The sequence below is a fragment of the Homo sapiens genome, chromosome 1 (genome assembly GCF_000001405.40).
Source record: "Homo sapiens chromosome 1, GRCh38.p14 Primary Assembly".
Taxonomy (NCBI): domain Eukaryota; kingdom Metazoa; phylum Chordata; class Mammalia; order Primates; family Hominidae; genus Homo; species Homo sapiens.
This window is the reverse complement of record NC_000001.11, coordinates 101,074,667-101,094,849: the sequence shown is the minus strand read 5'-3', so window position 1 is coordinate 101,094,849 and position 20,183 is coordinate 101,074,667. Positions and strand designations below refer to the sequence as shown.

The 20,183-nt window shown below is 36.7% G+C and overlaps 1 long non-coding RNA gene across 1 annotated transcript in view, besides 2 other annotated features; it reads right to left on the bottom strand.

Moving 5' to 3' along the window:
• Positions 4,903-5,197: a silencer, noted in NCBI's record as "tiled region #5182; HepG2 Repressive non-DNase unmatched - State 24:Quies". NCBI's record gives its function as "represses a minimal TATA promoter and a strong SV40 promoter by Sharpr-MPRA in HepG2 cells {active_cell/tissue: HepG2}" and the evidence as "EXISTENCE:reporter gene assay evidence [ECO:0000049][PMID:27701403]".
• The window catches only part of DPH5-DT (DPH5 divergent transcript), a 61,534-nt gene continuing 48,821 nt past the window's right edge, over positions 7,471-20,183 (bottom strand). The window contains exons 2-5 of the long non-coding RNA NR_109849.1: positions 19,134-19,455; positions 17,342-17,487; positions 11,276-11,389; positions 7,471-7,998 (exon numbers count right to left, since the gene is read on the bottom strand). This is a non-coding gene — a long non-coding RNA (DPH5 divergent transcript). The remainder of the gene's footprint in view (positions 7,999-11,275; positions 11,390-17,341; positions 17,488-19,133; positions 19,456-20,183) is intronic.
• Positions 13,106-13,185: a silencer, noted in NCBI's record as "silent region_1123". NCBI's record gives its function as "represses an Ori minimal core promoter by ATAC-STARR-seq in GM12878 lymphoblastoid cells {active_cell/tissue: GM12878}" and the evidence as "EXISTENCE:reporter gene assay evidence [ECO:0000049][PMID:35858748]".

The following is a 20,183-nucleotide window of genomic DNA, read 5'->3' as shown; positions in this document are numbered from 1 at the left end:
GAAAAATGTTTGTTTTATATATAGGCCAACTAGTCTATGGTGTTCTGTTAGACCAGCTTGAATGGACTAAAACTCAGACAGAACAAATATTCAAAATGGTAATGACCGAAAATGTCTCAAAATGAATGCCAGACACCAAAGTTCAGATCCAGAAAGCTCAGAGAACGTCAAGCAGGATAAATGCTAGAATAGCTACACATACACATATCATTTTCAAATTACAGAAAGTCAAAGATAAAGAAAAAATTACTGAAAGAAGCCGGTGGGGGGGAGGGGGAGAAAATATGTTACATATAGAGCAGTAGAGATAAAAATTACATTTGACTTCTCCTCAGAAACCACGCAGCAAGAAGAGAGTGGAGTGAAATAGTTAAGGTGGTAGAGAAAAAACCACCAACCAAGAATTCTATGTCTTGCAAAATTTTCCTTCACATATGCATCATTATAAATTTGTCCAAACTCATAGCGGGTATGATGCGAAGTGTGAACATTAAACTATAGACTTTGGGTGACTACCATGTGTCAATGTCAATTCATCAGTTGTAGTAAATCTAACACTCTGATGAGGGATGTTGATAATGGGGAAAGCCATGTATTCGGAGAGGCAGAGCGTATATGGAAAATATCTGTACCTTCTGCTCACTTTCGCTATAAATCTAAAACTGTTCCATAAGAATAAAGTCTTTAAAAAGGCTTTAAAATGTACCACTCTCTGGAAGAGAAAGATAGACTTCTACAAGATTTTAAAGTCATATTTGAAAATAAAAATATTTGGTATAAATTGTGCACTGTGCTATAACAAAAAATTCATGAGATATTACTTTTTTCCTGCTATAAAATCAAGAAATTAAGCATTAGATTAAAAAATAAAATCCTTAGCCTGTGTCATGTAAACCTTGACAAAATTGATAAGATCTAACAACTTAAAAATTTTAAAACCTCTGTTATTTTTGTCATTACAGGCATACTTCATTTTATTGTGTTTCAGAGATACTGTGATTTTTATAAATTGAAGGTTTTTGGCAATCCTGTGTTAAGCAAGTTCATTGGCATCATTTTTCCAACAGCACGTGCTTACTTCTTATCTCTGAATCATATTTTGGTAAAGTTTGCAATATTTCTAATTTTTTATTATTATATCTGTTATGATGCTATGTGATCAGTGATCTTTCATGTTACTATTGTAATTAGTCTGGGGGCACCATGAATCGTGCCTATATACTACAGTGAACTTAACCCATAAATGTGTGTGCTCCGACTGACTGACCGAAACGACTGTTTCCCTGTCTCTCACCCTGTCTTTGGACCTCCCTTTTCCCTGAGACACAGCAATTTTGAAACTAGGCCAACTAATAACCCTACAATGGCCTCTGGGTGTTCAAATGAAAGGAAGAGTCACATCTCTTGTCTCTTACTTTAAATTAAAAGCAAGAAATAATTAATCTAGTGAGATATTCATGTCAAAAGCCAAAATAGTCAAAAGCCAGGCCCCTTGAGCCAAACAGCTAAATTGTGAATGCAAAAAGTTATTAAAGGAAATTAAAAGTGCTACTCCAGTGAATGCATGAATGATAAGATAGCAAAATAGCCTTATTGCTGATATGAAGAAAGTTTTATTGGACTGGATAGAAGATCAAACCAGCCACAACATTCTTTTAGGCCAAAACCTAATCCAGAGCAAGTTCATAACTCAATTCTATTCCATGAAGGCTGAGAGAGGTGAGGAAGCAGTAGAAGAGCTTGCAGCTAGCAGAGCTTGGTTCATGAGATCAAGAAACTGTCTTCATAACATAAAAGCTCAAGGTGAAGCAGCAAGTACTGATGTAGAAGCTGCAGCAAGTTATCCAGAAGATCTAGGTAAGACTATAAATGAAGGTGGCTACACTAAACAACAAATTTTCAGCACAGATAAAACAATCTTATATTGGAAGAAGATGCCATCTAGGACTTTCATAGCTAGAGAGAAGAAGTCAATGGCTGGCTTCAAACCTTTAAAAGAGGGCTGACTCTCGTGAGAGGCAAATGGAGCTGGTGACCTAAGTTGAAGGCAACGCTAATTTACCATTGTGAAAACCCTAGGGCCCTTAAGAATTATGCGAAGTCTACTCTGCCTGTGCTCTATAAATAAAACAACAAAGCCTGCATGACAGCACATCTGTCTATAGCATGGTTTACTGAATATTTTTAGCCCACTGTTGAGAACTGCTGGTCAGAAAAAAAGATTCCTTTTAAAATATGACTGCTCATTGATAATGCTCCTACTAACCCAGGAGCTCTGATGGAGATGTACAAGGAAGTTAGTGTTGTTTTCATGTCTGCTAACACAACATCCATTCTGCATCCTGTGGATCAAGAAGTAATTTTGACTTTTGAGTCTTATTATTTAAGAAATACATTTCGTAAGGCTATAGCTGCCATAGATAGTGATTCATCTGATGGATCTGGGCAAAGTAAATTGAAAACCTTCTGGAAAGGACTCACCATTCTAGGTGCCATTAAGATCATTCGTGATTCATGGGAGGAGGTCAGAATATCCACATTGATATGTGTTTGGAAGAGGTTGATTCCAACCCTCATGAATGACTTTGAGGGGTTCAAGGCTTCAGTGGAGGAAGTAACTATAGATATGGTAGAAATAGCAAGAGAATAAGAATATGAAGTGAAGCCTGAATATGGGACTGAATTGTTGCAATCTCATTATAAAACTTGGATGAGCAGTTGCTTCTTATGAATGGGCAAAGAAAGTCATTTCTTGAGATGAAATCTAATCCTGGTGAAGATGCTGTGAACATTGTTGAAATGACAAAGGATTTGGAATATTATATAAACTTAGTTCAAAAAGCAGTGACAAGATTTGAGAGAACTGACTCAAATTTTGAAAGAAGTTCTACTGTGGGTAAAATGGTATCAAAAAAACACTGCATACTACAGAGAAATCTTTTGTGAAAGAAGTCAACTGATACGGTAAACTTCATTGTCTTATTTTAAGAAATTGCCGCAGCCACCCCAGTCTTGACCACTCTGATCAGTCAGCAACCATCAGTATGAAGACAAGACCCCCATCAGCAAAAAGATTCACTCACTGAAGGCTCAGATGACCGTTAGCAATTTTTAGCAATAAAGTATTTTTAATTAAGTTACGTGCTTTTTTAGACAATGCTATTGCACATGTAATAGGCTATAGTATAGTGTAAACATAACTTTTGTATGTACTGAGAAACCAAGAAATATGTGTGACTTGCTTTATGGCAATATTCACTTTATTGCACTTGTCTGGAACCAAATCCACAATATCTTCAAGGTATGTCTGTATATAATTATTATTCCTATATTTCTGAATTTCTAAATTGCTTAGTTCTGTCTTCACAATTGACCTAAACATACGTAATAAAACTCAAAATAATGTAACCATTAATAATGATATTATGAACATTCCCATAATATATAAAGGAACCACTAAGAGGAGGAAGCGTGGCATTGTGGAAAGAGCACAGGCTTTGTAAAGAAAGTTCTGGGATGAATACCACCATTTACTAGTTCATTCATTCATAGCACCTATTGCCATTATATGTATCTGTTTCATGCAGCATGGGTTAGGCATGGAATTTATAATCTATTTAGGGATACAGATATGAAACCTACAATTATATAAATAACTTAATTACAAATTTAAATTTGTAAGTAACTTAAAGTAGGAGTATAGGGTACTGTAAACATCTAAAAGTAGGCTCCAGCAATTAAACAGAATAAGGTAGATTTATATTTGCTAGTCTTGAAAATCTTTTGCACTTAAAAGTTTAAATACACTATTAAAAAACTGCAAAATAGTATGTGCAGTATGATTCAATTTCACTTAAATAATTACATCAAAATTTCCAACAATATTATTATATTAAATTCATAGAAAAAATTGTAGTAATACATTGAATTATTAACAGAAGTTATCTCTGGTATTCCTGTTAAATATATTTATAATGACCTAATTGTTTACACTGAGCATATATTACTTTCATGCTCAAAAAATAAATAAAAATGTAGTTTTGAAATAAAATCTAGGAACATACAACTGCAACATCAGTCTGGCCCCTGAACATCTAGAAATGCCCAGCAAAAGCTTTTATTAAACTGGTAAAAAAGAAATACATTAACAAAGAAATCTAATATTCTTCAAAAAAACAAAGAATGTTTTAAGATATTTTGTCAATAAATTATTTCTTGTATAGTACAAATTCAAGATTTGGTATCCATCATTAAGGATAATTATATTTTTCCATATAGAAAAGAGAGAGAATACATCCTATCTGTTAGTTTTCAGAAACATTGAAAGAATTAAAAATGATTTAGGCTCTCACAAAATAAAAATACATTCAGTATTTATCATGAACAAACTCTGTACTGTGCTATTGGGAAAATTTTGCTAAGAAAGAGTTTATTAACTCGACAAATATGAATTGGGTACCTACTATGTACCAGGTCTTGGGGGTTCAGATGCAATGCTCTGGGGATTCAAAAATGAAAAGGACATAGTCCCTGCCTTCAAAATACTTTTGATTTAGTAATACAGACAGAGACATAAATAATTTTCTAAATATATTACTGAAAAAACTCAAATAACCATAGAAAATTTTTAGATCTAGACAAATCTAAAGCGCTTGCACATACACATTCTTCCATGGAGTTGTCACAGAGCCATACACTTTACAATCACAGAAACCAAAGAGCTTGCATAGCTTCCCAAGAAAACAGAATGAGCTTGAATGGCAAAACCATCAAAACAGAGAAAAGCCTATTTAGGCTATGGAACAAGAAAAAGGAGAAAGATACATTTTGCTCAAATGACTGTCATAAAGTTTGGTAGCTCTTTTGAAAATAGTCACTTTCCCGGCTTTATGTAATAATCCTGAATACTGAAACAGTTTAGCTGCTGACAATATAAACCATTCTAAGAAAAGTTCATCTTATATCTCAGAATAGTTCTGCTTTTCTCTTTTTGTCAGTTTTTCTAGTGGTGACTGTGGTAACAAAAAAAGCCCTAGATCCATAGTGATAAGATAAAGTGGTTATTTTTCTTTCTTGGCAGTCAACATGAGCATTTACATTAAGAGTCCACTAATAAGCATTTTCATTAGCAGTGTAATGCAACTCCTTTGTAATGGTGTTTGGGAACAGAACTAGCTCTCACTGAGACATTCACCAATTCATCTGAACAACATTTTTCTCTCACCTACAATATACCAAACAATTATTGGGCACTGGTGGTAAGAAATTAGGAAGGCATAGTCCAGGCCCTTGAATTTACACAGAAGCCTGTTGTATAGGCAACAAATTTCCTATAATCTGGCATTTTATGGTTGGTTAATGTTATTAATCATATTTCATTGATCATATAAACTTCATTTCTTAATCATTTAATAAATATGTATGTTCTTTTTTTTCTTTTTTGAGATGGAGTCTTTCTCTGTCACCCAGGCTGAAGTACAGTGGCATGATCTCAGCTCACTGCAACCTCCGCCTCCCAGGTTCAAGCAATTCTCCTGCCTCAGCTTCCCAAGTAGTTGGGACTATAGGTGTGCACCATCACACCTGACTAATTTTTGTATTTTTTAGTAGAGATGGTATTTTGCAATGTTGGTCAGGCTGGTCTTGAACTCCTGACCTCAAGGGATCTGCCCACCTCAGCCTCCCAAAGTGCTGGGATTACAGGCTTGAGCCACTGTACCAAGCCTCTATGTTCTTTGAAATACCCAGAACTATGCCACAGAAAAGTGTGTAAAAACAGACATAGCCTCTCTTCTTAAAGATCATGTAGTTTAGCTGGAATAGAAGGAGGCAGAAATAGTCGGTTTCCTAAATATTTTCCATTCTTCTTTCTTCCCCTCTAAAAAACTAATTCTTGTCTAGGGAGCAATATGTCCAGCCCAGAAAATAAACGATGATTAGTCTAAGCCCATGGTTCCCAAACTGTGTGCCCAGCCCTCAAGGGTGCTAAAGTAAACTCACTGGGGGAGCTATAATATATTCAAATTTTCAAGGGAAATAGGGACTTAACTTCTGGCAGATAGCATGCCCACTATTAGCTTGGGGTGATTCACAGTTTCCACATTAGACCATGCTACATTTCTTTAGAATATTATGTCATTGATGTCATTGCAAAGCTGGGTTTTCAGTGGTTGCTGTGATGAAAAGCAAGCACTGTCTGGCAAGACATAGGGTGGCACCATCCAATCTGAGTCCAAGGTTTGAGAAGTTGTAGAGTGCCCAACAGGTATATATAGCCCAGTAGTAACTGTGGTTATCTAAGAATGAACAAGGTATTACTTCTCTTTCAATTTATGTGTCATAGTTCAAATGCTTATTGAATTGTATATGAAACTTTTATGTATTTCTTTTGGTACCACGAAAAAAATTAAGAACCCAAGGGAGCTGTGCACCAAGAAAGTCTGTGAAACTTTGGTCAAAGCCAATCATGTCAATCCTGTTTCCTGCTTCCCCAGCTTTTTTAAATCTAGGAGTAACTATATGCTCAATTATGGCCTAAGTAGAAATCTGCTGCATACAGATTTCATAAGGGTCTATCTGCCATAGATGGTGATTCATCTGATGGAATCACTCAGTGGGGCAGGGGAGGAGGGTCTGAAAGAACATTTGCTTTCCTGATAAGAGAGCAATGGCAAAGACTATTACTTGTCTTTCAATAGTCCAATTCCTTTAGAATCCTCGAAGTTTCAGCTAAAGGCCACATATTCCAGCCTCCTTTCCTACTACCTGGGACAAACTGATTAAGCTCTGGCCAAAGGTACATGAGCAGAGATGATACACGGAAATTCCGGGTCATATTCTTAAAAGGAATGGGCATGCCTCTACTTCTTTTCCCTTTTTAAATAAAGCCCATTTAAATAATTAGCCTTAAATACACATAGCAAGTATCAGCAGAACTGAGATAAGCACGTCAGATTGCCTTATTTCTAATCCACTGCTCTTTTTATATACCACACTCATTCAGGTCTTGGAACTAGCTGCACTGTAATTTTATATTCAATATGCTAATATGATAAGTTCTCTTTGATATGATGGCATATTGTTGATTCAAAATGATAATGTGAGAAATTGACATTGTTATGATGATAGACCATAGTGTTTTTGTTAAGAATCAAGATTTAGTTAGTGGGTCATTTGAGTTTGTTAACCTGTATAGCTAAGAACTAACTCGTGATAGGTTTCTTCTTCAAGATGCAGGTCATGTGAGACTTGGACAGTTCTCTGACTAGGAATTGCAGAAAGGTAGAGCATTAGCCATCACTCTGTGAATGAGGGTTTCTATTAGGGTAAGAATATGAAAAACATTGCTTTTTATGCTATAAGATGCAGGGAGTTCTTGTTTTACTTTACATTAAACAGCTCAAATAAACATGACATACACAGACATAAAAACAAATGAACACTTAAGGACAGACACAAATAATAAGATTATAAAATAGCAAAAGATTTTATAAATAGATTAGCAAGGACTGAAAAATCATATCTGAGATAGTTTACTTGGTAACTAAGTTGTTGGGAATTTTGTAAGAAAAACAGTTAAAGGAATTTTAAAACATAATACATTTTTATTTCTTTAAAAACGTATGACAAAATTTCTTCTGCCATCGGCCATGCTCAGATTTATACATTATAAAATGATTTAATTCCCTAAAGTACAAAAAAGAATGGCTGAATCTCCAAAGAGTTGATAAAGACTGAAGATGTTTATAAGGCATGCTTATGTATACTATTTCAAGCCATCTACAGGACTTGAGACAGGAATGTTTAGTGTTTGCAAAGCCATAGTCACTGAGCCAGACTTTGTGGTGATCCAGAGATCCTTTCATTTCACAGAACTGTCCTTGACGGCTTCTCCCAATAAAGATTTACAACCTTATCTCTTGGCTGTGGCAGTATGAGAGGATCTTCTTTCAGTACATATACTAAAGCTTCATTGGAGTAGCCACGCTTAGGAAGTACCTAGGAAAAAAAATAAAGGAAGATGATGATCACTAACATTTTCTAGGAGTTACATTTTTAATATTATTTCCTATTAAAATTAGGTCTCTTATGTCATGTGGATGACTACTTCATGTAACTAATTTTTTTTAAACACAAGGTTGAAAGCGAATGTATGGTGAATTTATCTAACAGCTAACTGAAAAAACAGGGACATCCTGCGTATAACTGTATAAGGTAACATACGAAGAAAATACAAATGAGATTCAATGAACTCGATGTAGCAGAAAAACAAATGTGTGTTTAAAACAGACACTTTAAGGGAAAAGTACCTAGTATCATTTGTTTACATCATAATAATATTAGTGATTCCCTTCTGAAAATGGCTTTGTATAAGTACATTAATTCTCTTAAGTGTGAAGCAATCCCACTGGAATGAAAAGAAGTTCTGACTGAAGAATTGAAGAGAAATTCAATAACTGGACTAAATATCAAAGGTACTAAGAAGCTGGAGATCTGATCTACTGAATCCTACCACTAATTTTCTGCTCTGTCTTCTATCCCCATTCTCCTTCCAAACCTGTGAATAGACCTAGACATACTAACGCTTCCTACATTTTTTTTTTTTTTGAGTCTCACTCTGTTGCCCAGGCTGGAGTGCAGTGGTGCTATCTCAGCTCACTGCAACCTCTGCCTCCCAGGCTCAAGTGATTTTCCTGCCTCAGCCTCCCAATTTGCTGGGATTACAGGCACGTGCCACCATGCCTGGCTAATTTTTGTATTTTTAGTGGACACAGGGTTTCCCCAGGTTGGCCAGGCTGGTCTCAAACTCTTGATCTCAGGTGATCTGCCCACTTCGGCCTCCCAAAGGGCCGGGATTACAGGCATGAGCCACCATGCCTGGCCATACTAACACTTCTTACATTTTAAAAGAGAGAGAGGACTCCAGAAAATTAGCCTCATTCATTAATTCCAAAAATTGTTGTTTTGTAGCATGTAGTTTGCTGCTTGGTTTTGGTGCCTTTCTTTATGCTGCTAAAGTGTCATGTACTCTGTGGCATTCAGCATTCAGTGTTTGTCAAGTGACATATAAGATGAATTCATAAATAAAAACCCCTGATCAAAGATTAAAGAAATAAAATAAGAATAGCAAAAAAGACTTCTTTCTTTGTAAACATTCACCCATATTATTAATAATAATATAATTGTTAATCCATAATAAGCACCCAGGGAAACTACAATTGGTATAAAGAATAAGATAATTATATAAACAACTATAAAATATGACAGAATATAGGAAGTGAGAAAGTGTTACAAGAATTAATGAGAAATGGGATGGAGGGCTCACTGACTAAAAAGTACTACTCTTCTAGCTGGCTAGGTCAACTCTATCACCATCCTTTTCCTCAAATTCATCAGGGCTTCCAAGCACTCTGTTTCTCCAATTTCTCCCTCTTTTTATTTATCCTCGCCCCTTACTTTAGTTCCAGTACATCTTCAAGCCTATGGGTCATCAATCTCTCTTTTGCTAATATCTCAATTTCCTGTGTCCCATTATTCATGTCACACAGCATCTGGCTTTCCACAGTGGCCTTCTCTCAGTTCTTCTCTCAGTTCCTTGTTCACTCCCACCTCAGGGCCTTTGTATATGTTGTTCCCTCTGCCTAGGACACTCTTTCATGTCCTTGCATTCCCTTAATCCGCTCCCACTTAACTTAGCTGGACTCTTCATTCTTCAGATCTCTGTGTAAACCTCACATCAGGGAAGACATTCTTGACCCCCAGCCTAAGGTGTAGCCTTCTAAACGCCATGCACAGACCCTTGGAAAATGCGTGAAACTTGAAATTAGTTATCAATGCCACTTTTGTGTTGTATTATAACCTCCATTAGAGTGGGTAATAATTCTGTCCTAGTTATTGCTAAATCCCCATCATTAGTTTATCACTTGATATACATTAGGCATTTGATAAATATCTGTTCCATAAATGAAACAATGAAAGGAGAGGGAGACCCCACACATTCAGCTGGGATGATCAAGGAAGGATTTATGGAGGAGGAGGAGGCCTGTGAGACAGGCTTTGGGCAATGTACACAGTAGTGATAAGCAGTGGGGATAATTGGTGCTGAGGCCTGGAGACAAGTGAGTCAGTGGATGCTCAGGGAAGAGTGGAAGGTTCATTTTGGCTATAAAGGATGGACCATTAAGGCGAGTAACGGAAAAGATTGGGCTGGAAAACAAGGTAAGCATAATATGGGGAAGGCAGGCCTGTTTTGGAAATCAATACTTAACTTTGTAGTTGATGCAGAGACAATAAAGGAATACAGTTCATAGGCTAAGCAAAAGAGGAAAGAGAATGTATATAGAAAACTTATTCTTGAACTCACAGTGATACTACAGACAAGAAAAAATGGCAAAAGCCTAAAATGGACTGCTGACTGCATGAAATAAACAGAAAAGAAGTGATAGAAAGAATTACATGTTTAAGATGGATTGTATAAAGAGTAAAATATTTAACTAAAATATCTGGGGGGAGGCAGGAAAAGAGATAAACCAGCATGCCTCTTGAGGTTCCTGTGAGAGTAACTAGAAAGAATGGAATAATCTAGATGTATATATGGTGAGAGGAAGGAAATAATCAGTTTATTTTGTAACACTATTGAGCTAGATTTTTAACGTTTTATCTAGAATATAGTAATATTGGGGTAAACACTGTAAATCAGTGGCTGAAGATCAATGCAGAATTTCTGCTCTAATGAGATATTATATTTACATTTCTGGTAATTTCCGTTACCAGAAGCATGTCTGTTCACATGCTTGTATACTATAAAAGTATGTTTAAAAAAAAAGACTGCTTCAAGCCATGAATAAACAGTGTGTGTTTTCCTGGAGAAATAATTGTATAAAAAATTTGAGGCAATAATCACCAACCCACTTAACCCCCTCCTCCAACTTAAAAGTATTTTTATATTAAAACAAACAGAAATGTATTATGGAAGAGAATACAAGATTCACATGGATTTTTAGATAACACTCTCAAATTCCAAGAGATTTTGTATTTGGCAAACTGCTTTAGGGTCTACCTTCCTTGCCTCAATCTCCTACCCTTCAGTTCAAGTTTATTTTGCTAAGTAAATTATCTAAATAGCCTGTCCACATCTATATTGCTAGCAAGTGGCAGAGCAAAACTTTTAAATCAGATCTCTCTAGAGCCTGTACTCTAAACCACTATAGTAGACACTATCCAATAATTTAATGGTCTTTTAATTTTAGTTAATATTATATTTAGCTTTACTTACCAAGTAAATGACAACATAAGGCCAAATGCAGGCAGCAGGTATTTTTCAATAATGAATTAGCAGGGGCTCCAAGAATACAACAAGAGAAAGTGATTTTTCACAGTGCTTGAGAGGCTGAAGATGGGATTATCGCAGAGAGAAAAAGGTTAGAGTGGTGTTTCCTTAGTCCACTACTCACAAATTAGATGGTTATGTTACATATTCTTTTAAGACACAAGCCATCCTCCAAACTTACAAAAAACAGAAAGTCTACATCATTTTCCTGTTCAAAACCTTGAAAGCACAGTTTAGAAAGTCCTTCACAATCTGGCTCTAAACTACCCTCCAGCAACTAATCCCCATAGAATCTCAGCTCCAAATACCTCAGACTATTAATTAATTAATTAGCTAATACAATTAAAAGTCTTCCTGAAAAGGCAACCTTAACATAAAGACTTCAGGATAAGAAAGAGTTGTACAGATTAAAGGAATGAAACAGGGTTGGGAGGAAGAGAATTCCATGCAAGAACATGCAGAAACAACATCTCATAGGTAGAAAGAGCGAGGCCACTGACAAAAGTTCATTCAGGGAAGATGGCAGAGATGAAGCTGAAAAGGCAGGCAGGCAGAAGCCAGAAAGAGGACTTTGCAAGGCCCATGCTCCAGTGGGCCTTCCTTTTAGGGAAATGGAAAATCAACAAAAGATTTTAAGAAAGGAGTGGCATGCTCAGATCAGATCTGTGATTAAGAAAGTTTACTCTAGATACCCCTTGGAAATCATATTAACACACATTGTGTACCGCCACTACTACTTCCAGATGTATGCCCTCCACTGACTTTTACAGGTAAATGTGGAAACTGATTACGGGGTTTACCTAAGAAAACTAGTTTTGCACTCTCAGATTTCAAAATACAGTAATGAAAAACACAAAGCCTTTCCTCTTAAAATCTTGGAGTGCATGTTAGGGTATTCTTTAAACTTTGGTAACCATAAGAAGCAAATTACTTTGGAGTACTCCATTTCAAAAATGTTGTATAATACATGAAATGTGATATTACAGCATTACTGATCCACTTTATGATGTTTTAAAAAATGTACTTATTTAAATACAGAAATATGATCAATGAATACAGCATTATATAATCACCAAGAGAACTTACTAGAGTTTTCATAATGGTCTCTTGGCTCTTCTTCTGCTGATATTGGCACCAAAGAAATTAGGTTATAACTATTGTTTCTTTTTGTGGCTGAAGAGACATTTCCAAGTACAGAATGAATGGAGTTCATTCAGAAGCCTTGCAAATGGGCTGTGGCCCCTTTTTTTATGTATAATAGGCCCAGCAAGGATATTTAGGACAAAACCAAGTTTTATTTTTAACCAGTTGGCAAGGTCTTCACATTTTAAAGGAGCTCCACACGCTAGATTTACTTAGGCTTATCTGTTCTTTCATCACAATTTCTATAGAAGAATATTAAGGATGCCAGAGAGTTGCCCACTTAGGGAAGGCAGATAGTTTTTTTAAAATAACAAGATAAATCATATGTTGCTTAAAACCTAAATTACAGAGGACATAGGAATTTCCAGTAGACTAAACTTGTCACAGTGACATGAAACAATAATATTTGAGGAAAAAAAAAAAAGAAAAAAAGAGCTTAGTGGAGAAGCAAGTCACTGGGAAAGGGAAAAAGCTTAAAAGTCACGCATATTTAAAGAAAACTAATGTTTTGTCATTGTTTCAGCCACATCTGAGTACATTAGAATTTAACGTACTTAAAAAAATTTTTAAAGGCAAAACATACAACAGTTGGGAGACAAAGTGGTTGTAACCCACTTCCTCCACACCCTCTTGATACTTAACATTGATACTTTGTGTGGTCTTTGGCTTATGCAGTATCCTGTCTCATTATGACTGGACTATTAAGAATCAAGTAACTGTCCCTGGGCGTGGTGGCGGGTGCCTGCAGTTCCAGCTACTCGGGAGGCTGGGGCTGGAGAATCCCTTGAGCTCAGGGGCTCGAATCTAGTCTGGACAACATAGTGAGACCCCCCGTCTCTAGAAAACAAACAAACAACAACCAAAAACACCCAAACACAAACACACAAAAGAATCCAGAATCAAATAATGGTCATCAACAATACAATATCCAACGGTAGTTCCTTTTTTTTTTTAAACGCACAGAACAACCTTTTGAAGGTGCCAAATTTAAAGATGGTAAAGTAACAGAGAAGTAAACTGTAACCTAATTGCTATGGCTTCAGAATAACCCAGTCAAAAGACTTTCAACATGAAAGGAAAGGAATTTAAATTAGTTGCCCTTGAGTTCAATATTTAAAGGTTCTGTATTTTTTTTCCTACTTTAGCAAGGGAACAAATATAGTCCTAGATTGGTCCAGGGGTGTATCTCCCCTTCTCAAAGTAATTTGCAGGTTGGACTACAAAGGAGATATAGTAACCCAATGAAAACAGTAGAAGCAAGACAGGTTCTTGGCATCTGCTTATGCTGCCGCCTGTATTTCTGCCCATGTTGGCTCAGGCCAAACAGTGCAGCATCCAGTGGACGGCTGAGGGACCTGTGTCCTCCACACTTCGCTCACCAGCAGGGAGTCATTATTACTCCTTCACATTGGGTACTTTTGAAGCACTTGATAGAAGCTCTTCTTAATGGAAATACTGAGGATTAAAGAACAATTCTGAGACTCAATCATTCTGAAGGGAAAAAAACACAATTGTCTAAGTCAGGGGAAACCATCTCTGACAGATGTTCTGCTAAAAGAGAAGACAGCTCCTCTTTTCTACATGATTCTCGAGGGCTAAAGGCTGCAGAGAGATACTGCTAATTAATTCCTCCATGTTTTCATGAAGGAAATATTTATCAAACATATCTAGAGCCATATTTTATAAGTAGTGTTTAGTTACTGTGTGTATATTCTAAGCATTTTATTATATAATAATATATACTGTGGAAGTAATAGTATTTACCTCACTGGGTTGTGGAGAGTATCTAACTCAGTGAGTTGTGAGATAATAAACATAAAGTGCTCATAAGCCATAATCCTGGTGCACTGCAATTGCTCAGTAGATGGTCATTCATGTTATTGGTGTTATGGAAGCTGCTAATGTAAAGCTTTATTTCTGGGTCCAGAAAGAAGTTGCCTTTACTGGAGATATCAAAGGCTAAATAGTAACACTGACGTTTAACAGGATCTGGAAAAAAAGAGAAATTTTTGACTCAAAGGGATTTATAAGGTTTCGAACCACCCTAAAACTTAAGATTTCTGGTATGCTGTGGAATTCCTGAAGTTTGTGAGAGACTTGCACTTTCAGGAATTTAGGCTTTGATGTTGAATTAGGAAATTTGAATCCTGGCTCCATTACTTATTCTTTGTATACTTTAGCTCTCTTATGTGTAAAATGAGGCTAATAATTCTACCTACACGTCAGAGTTTTTGAGAGAACAATATATGTAAATACTTAAAACAGTGCTTGGTACTTAGCTAGACATATCTCAAATCACTACCATCATGATCACCAAATGGCAGAATTGACAAATGGGATTTGTGTCTTGCTGCCTCAGATTATCTTTGATTTTCCATACTCTTTGATGTCTAAAATAATTTTGATTCCTATTATTCTATAGCTAAATATTCTAACATGAGGCAATTACTACCCTTTCTGTTTCTAAATTGGAAGGATATCTTACAACACAATATTGCAAGGAAAATAACCACACATTGGTAGGTTCAAAGAAAAGAAGAGGAGAAACCATTAGGAAATGAAGGCACCTTGTCCATCTTAGGGGATGCTCACTCCTATCCTTCATTTTGCTTCTATCAGCTCTCAGTTTTCCCTCCTTCTCCATTGCGCCTCCAGTCTTAGTCTACATGACATTTAAGCCAAAAGTCATTCATAACATTTGTTTGTTTGTTTGTTTGTTCTTGAGAGACTCCTGGTGGCTTAGTTTGCCCTCTAATAGATTGCTATGGTAACACTTGTTTCCGTTTGTCTACCACTCTCCCTGCATCCTCTTAACTCCAAATTCTGATTTAAAAAAAAAAAAAAAGGAACCACCTGTTTCCTGAGCACAGAATTAGATTATTGAATCAAGCTGGCTTACACAGATCCTTCGAATTTGAGTCTTAAGTGGAGGTGCCTTGGGGTGCTCTGGGTCAAAGAGTTCATGAGTTCTCAATGCTCGAGTCCTCAGAATTGTCCTGGTTTCTAACCTCCTGAAGCTTGCTTGTTCAGTGATACCTTTCTGTGAGCTACTCTAATAATTCTCGTGTTTAAGATGGTCTCTGTTGCATACGCACCTTTCTGCTTTTTGCAACCAAAAAAGAAAAAAAACCTATGTGGCTGTGTGGCTGAGTTCCCTTGGGGGAATTTAATCAGCCATCAGCTTTGGTCAACTAGGGGCTTACACAAGACAAATTAATCTGGAGGAGATGTTAAGGGTGGTAAGTAATTTGATATATCCATAACAGGGGAAAATGGTAGTTATAAGAAAAGAATCAGACTTGTGTCTACATCTACTACAGTCTTAGCAGAATATAACAAACCCCATTTAATTAAATTCCATTTAAGTCAATAGGCATTACAATTAGGCATTCACTAGATAAGCACTTGGGGGATATTTAGACGGATAAGGCTAAAATTTTGCTCTCAAGTAATGGCTAGTCTGGGGGAAGACTACATGTACACATATAAGTATAATACAAGGCAAAATATGCTGACTACTGTGATAAGATCAAATAAAAACACTTTGGGAGGCCGAAGCGGGCGGATCACGAGGTTAGGAGATTGAGACCATCCTGGCTAACACGGTGAAACCCCGTCTCTACTAAAAATACAAAAAATTAGCCAGGCGTGGTGGCGGGCGCCTGTAGTCCCAGCTACTCGGGAGGCTGAGGCAGGAGAATGGCGTGAACCCGGGAGGCGGAGCTTGCAGTGAGCCGAGATGGTGCCACTGCACTCCAGCCTGGGCAACAGAGCGAGACTCTGTCTCAAAAAAATAAATAAATAAATAAATAAATAAATAAATAAATAAATAAAAACATAGAGGAAAGAACAATTAATTTGGGTTATAGCATTAGCCAAACAGGTCAGCCTGCTGAAAGATTCAAATAGCATGTTGCAAGCCACCAATACAAAGGAGAGAAGAAGCCCTTTTAAAGAGCTGTGGCATTTTGAGATCTTGAGTAACATACAAATGGAAAAAGACTCCTCAGGTTTGTAGGCACTTGAGAAATATTGCTTTCTCACTTCTTACCTCATTTAAGTACAGGTCTAAGTAAAGGTCTGTAGAGGCAAAAATCCTTTCTTACCAATAAGTGAGTCCTTCCCTAACCCTAGTCTTGGGCTGGTAGGAAGTATCCCTATTCAGTGTCCCATTTCCTCACCAAGAGTGTTTTCCATTCCTGAGTTAGTTCAACAAGGGTAAAATCTGGATTAATGGCCCCCACGTCTTTGAAGTCAAGAAATGTACATTATTTTTTCCCAGATCTTAAATCTGGTGACTCAGCACAAATTCTAGCCTTGCATGTATCCCTCAACCAGACCGAGTATCCATTGCATGAACAATGACCCACGGACACCAGTGTAACCCCTGCCTCCTCACCTCCTGCACTGGCCCTGCAGAACTGAGATTCTGCCTTTTACGTAGCCTTTTTGCCTGAGAACAAGTTAGCCTAATTCTTGGCAGTCTTCTCTCTGGTTATGGCAGTGGAGTCTCTACCATGTGTTTTAAACCCTAGTTCAACAAGCAATTCTGTTAGAACCCGACTAATATCCTCCTTACAATGGAGCAGGTGTTGGCAAACTTCTTTAAAGAGCCAGATAGTGTATATTCTAGGCTTTGAGGGCCAGAAGGTTTCTGTCACAAGTATTCTGGCATTTTAAGTCCTAAAGCAGCCATAGACCACATTTAAATGAATGGGTGGAGCAGTAGTCTAATAAAACTTCACTTATAAAAAGAGGCAATGATTTGGCCCTTGAGTATAGTTTGAAGACCCCCTGCTTTTCAGCATCACTGTTCATGCATTCAGAATTCCTTATTCCCATGACCCATCTGTTTGCGAGAAAGCTCACCTTAATCTTTCCCAATCCTCCTTTATTTGCAAAGGTGTAGGCTTGCCCATCTCAGTTACAATATTCAAGACGTCCATGTACCTTACTTCAGTTCCTGGTATACTCCAGAGCCCACATGAACATTTATGCATACCCTATCATTCCATCTAGAGCCAAAGTAAAAAAAGAGAAGCGAGAAGTAGTGGTATGTATATAGTTATTAGCAGTTTGAGGGAAAAGAAAACAAAACAAAACCAAACAAAAACAGAAAATAGCCTAAAAGAAGTAACTGTTGCTTCTGGAACAAGAGAAAAGGAGAAAAGTTATAAGACAACAATCTGTTATATTCTGCAGGGAGCAGAGATACCTTGGCCAAAAGTAAAGAAAATTGTTTGGGTAACTCTCTAGACAATGGGAAGAAAACTGAGGCTCATAAAAGTTAAATGAGAGTTCCACATAGGCCTGTTAAGGAATTCCTGCTAATTATATTCATCTTGAAGCAAAGGTAGAAGATGTATCGCAATATCCCAAATTGGAAATCTAAATATATTTTCTGAATAAAGTTGTTAAATAGAGCGATTTTTTAAAATGTAGTAGTAGGTTTAATAGGAATCTGTAAGTGGCACAAAACACAATAATAACTGCTATTTAGTTAAGTGACAGTGTAGTGGACATTTTTTTCTGATTTTACCATCTAACATTCACTCCCCTTTCTTTTGGTAACACTATCAACAATTTTCTTTGGACAACCGTGCTTCCTGTGCCTTCGGTCCCCCTGCTTTGGATTGAGCTGAAACTATCCGATTTCAGGGACAGGCATGTGATCTAGGTTTGGATAATCAAAATATTGAACCCCCCTGGATCTACAGTTGTTTTAGGAACAGAAACATGCAAGTTTGTCTCATCAAAGTGAGGCCAAGACTTCTATAGGTATTTCAGGGAGAGTTGCTCTTTTTTATGTTATATTAGAAAATGGCAAGATGTAAGTTTAGAGTTGCTAAAGGATGACATTAGGAAATAACTCCTTTGACAGTTAAAGCAAGTATTAAGAAAAATAGGCTGTAGAAATGCAGATACCAAGTCCTGAGAATACTGTTTGAACCCTTAATATTTTAGTAATGAGTTAATTTTTTTAGCCAATTTTCTTTTATAATTCCTTTCCTCCTTCCATTATTCTTTCCTTCCATCCCTCCCTTCTTTCCTTCCCTTTTATCCCTGCAACTGAGAGTTGTAAAAGAAAGTAAAATAATACAGCTTATTTTATGTAAGTATATATAGCTTTCCTTTAACTCACAAAACAATCCTATGGGTGGGTATAATTACTCGGTCAACTGAGGAATTGCATAGTATGCCGCTGGTCATGCTATGCATAGTATGCAATTCCTCAGTTGACTTCAAAGTTATGATTCAACCTCAGGCCAGTATGACTCAAAGCAGGTGATCCTCACTATACCTCCTGCCCTCAGGTAAAAAGTCTTCTAAGGGAACTAAGCTTTTAGGTCTCAACAATTCAAATCTGCTTCTAATTTAGGGGCCATCTCTATACTAGGGGCCTAATGTGATGATAATAGATCAACTTTGGCCAGTGATGTGAAAATAAATGTACTTTTGAAAATGCAGTGACTCCTTGACAGGTGCCCTTTAGAATACTGGTGAATGGCTGTTGTAGAAAAGTCATTTCTGAAAGCTATTTTTATGAGGCAAACTGCATTTTCCACTTTTATCCCACACCTAATGTCAGGGATATGTTCTAAGAGAATACTTTTATTCTCATTCATTCTGCAACAAACATTTAGAGATATTTAGAGCTTACCAGGCATTGGAGAAATGTACTGGGCTGCCTAGAACAACAATTTGGACCAACGTTTGCATGTTCCCATCCCAGAAACACTTGTAGGTCCAGGGTGGTTCAATATTTTGATTGTCCAAACCTGGATCATCTACCTATCCCTGGAATCAGGGATGGTTTCAGTTCAATCCGAAGGACAGGAAGGCCATCTTAGATTGATAAGCCATCTTATGTTCCCAGTATCTGTCTGAAATAATTATATCCTGAGAGCTCTCGTAGTGTGAAGCTTTCTTCTACATGTAAAATTTCACAGGGAACCATGTTTTTCAAACAAAGGCATAAGAACCTGAAAGACAGTACAGAATAGTGATTAACAGGGCTGGCACTGGAGTTCAAGTCTCATCTCTTCTCAGCTGCATGACCTTGAGAGAGTTATTTAACGTCTCTGCGCTTCATTTTCCTTGTCTGTAAAAAAGGAATGATAATAATAGTACCGTTATTGTTAGTTGCCCATCCTCCCCTAAGTTTCTCAACTAAATGAACTACTGACTTGCTATCTAGTTTTTAATTTGAATATTAATAGATTATATTCACTTATATTGTGAATAAGTGAACGTTTCACTTATTTCTCTTATCTCTGTCACAATCTTTTACACACACACATGCAAATATGCTACATAAATTAGCTCTAAAAATGAGCAACTTGTAATACATGCCCAGCACTGTAATGTAAGTGAAATGATATTTTATTAGGGAGCAACCAATGATTTTTATCATATAAAATAAACAAGGAAATTTATCAAGATAGTTTTCATCATAAAATATATTTTTAAATATCTTTCTTCCCAAATTTTCTATTAAATTTGACCTAGCCATATGACTTACATAAATTATATTAGCAAAACTGAAGCCAATTATCTGAAATCATTTAAAGTATGGCTATTTCAGAACAATAATATGAGTATCATTTAAACAATGTTATAGTGTGTACACACATATCTGTCTTTCTATGTACCTTAGGGGTGGGAGGACAGACTGAGGCAATAGGAAAATCTCTCAAGTTAGTTTAGAAGT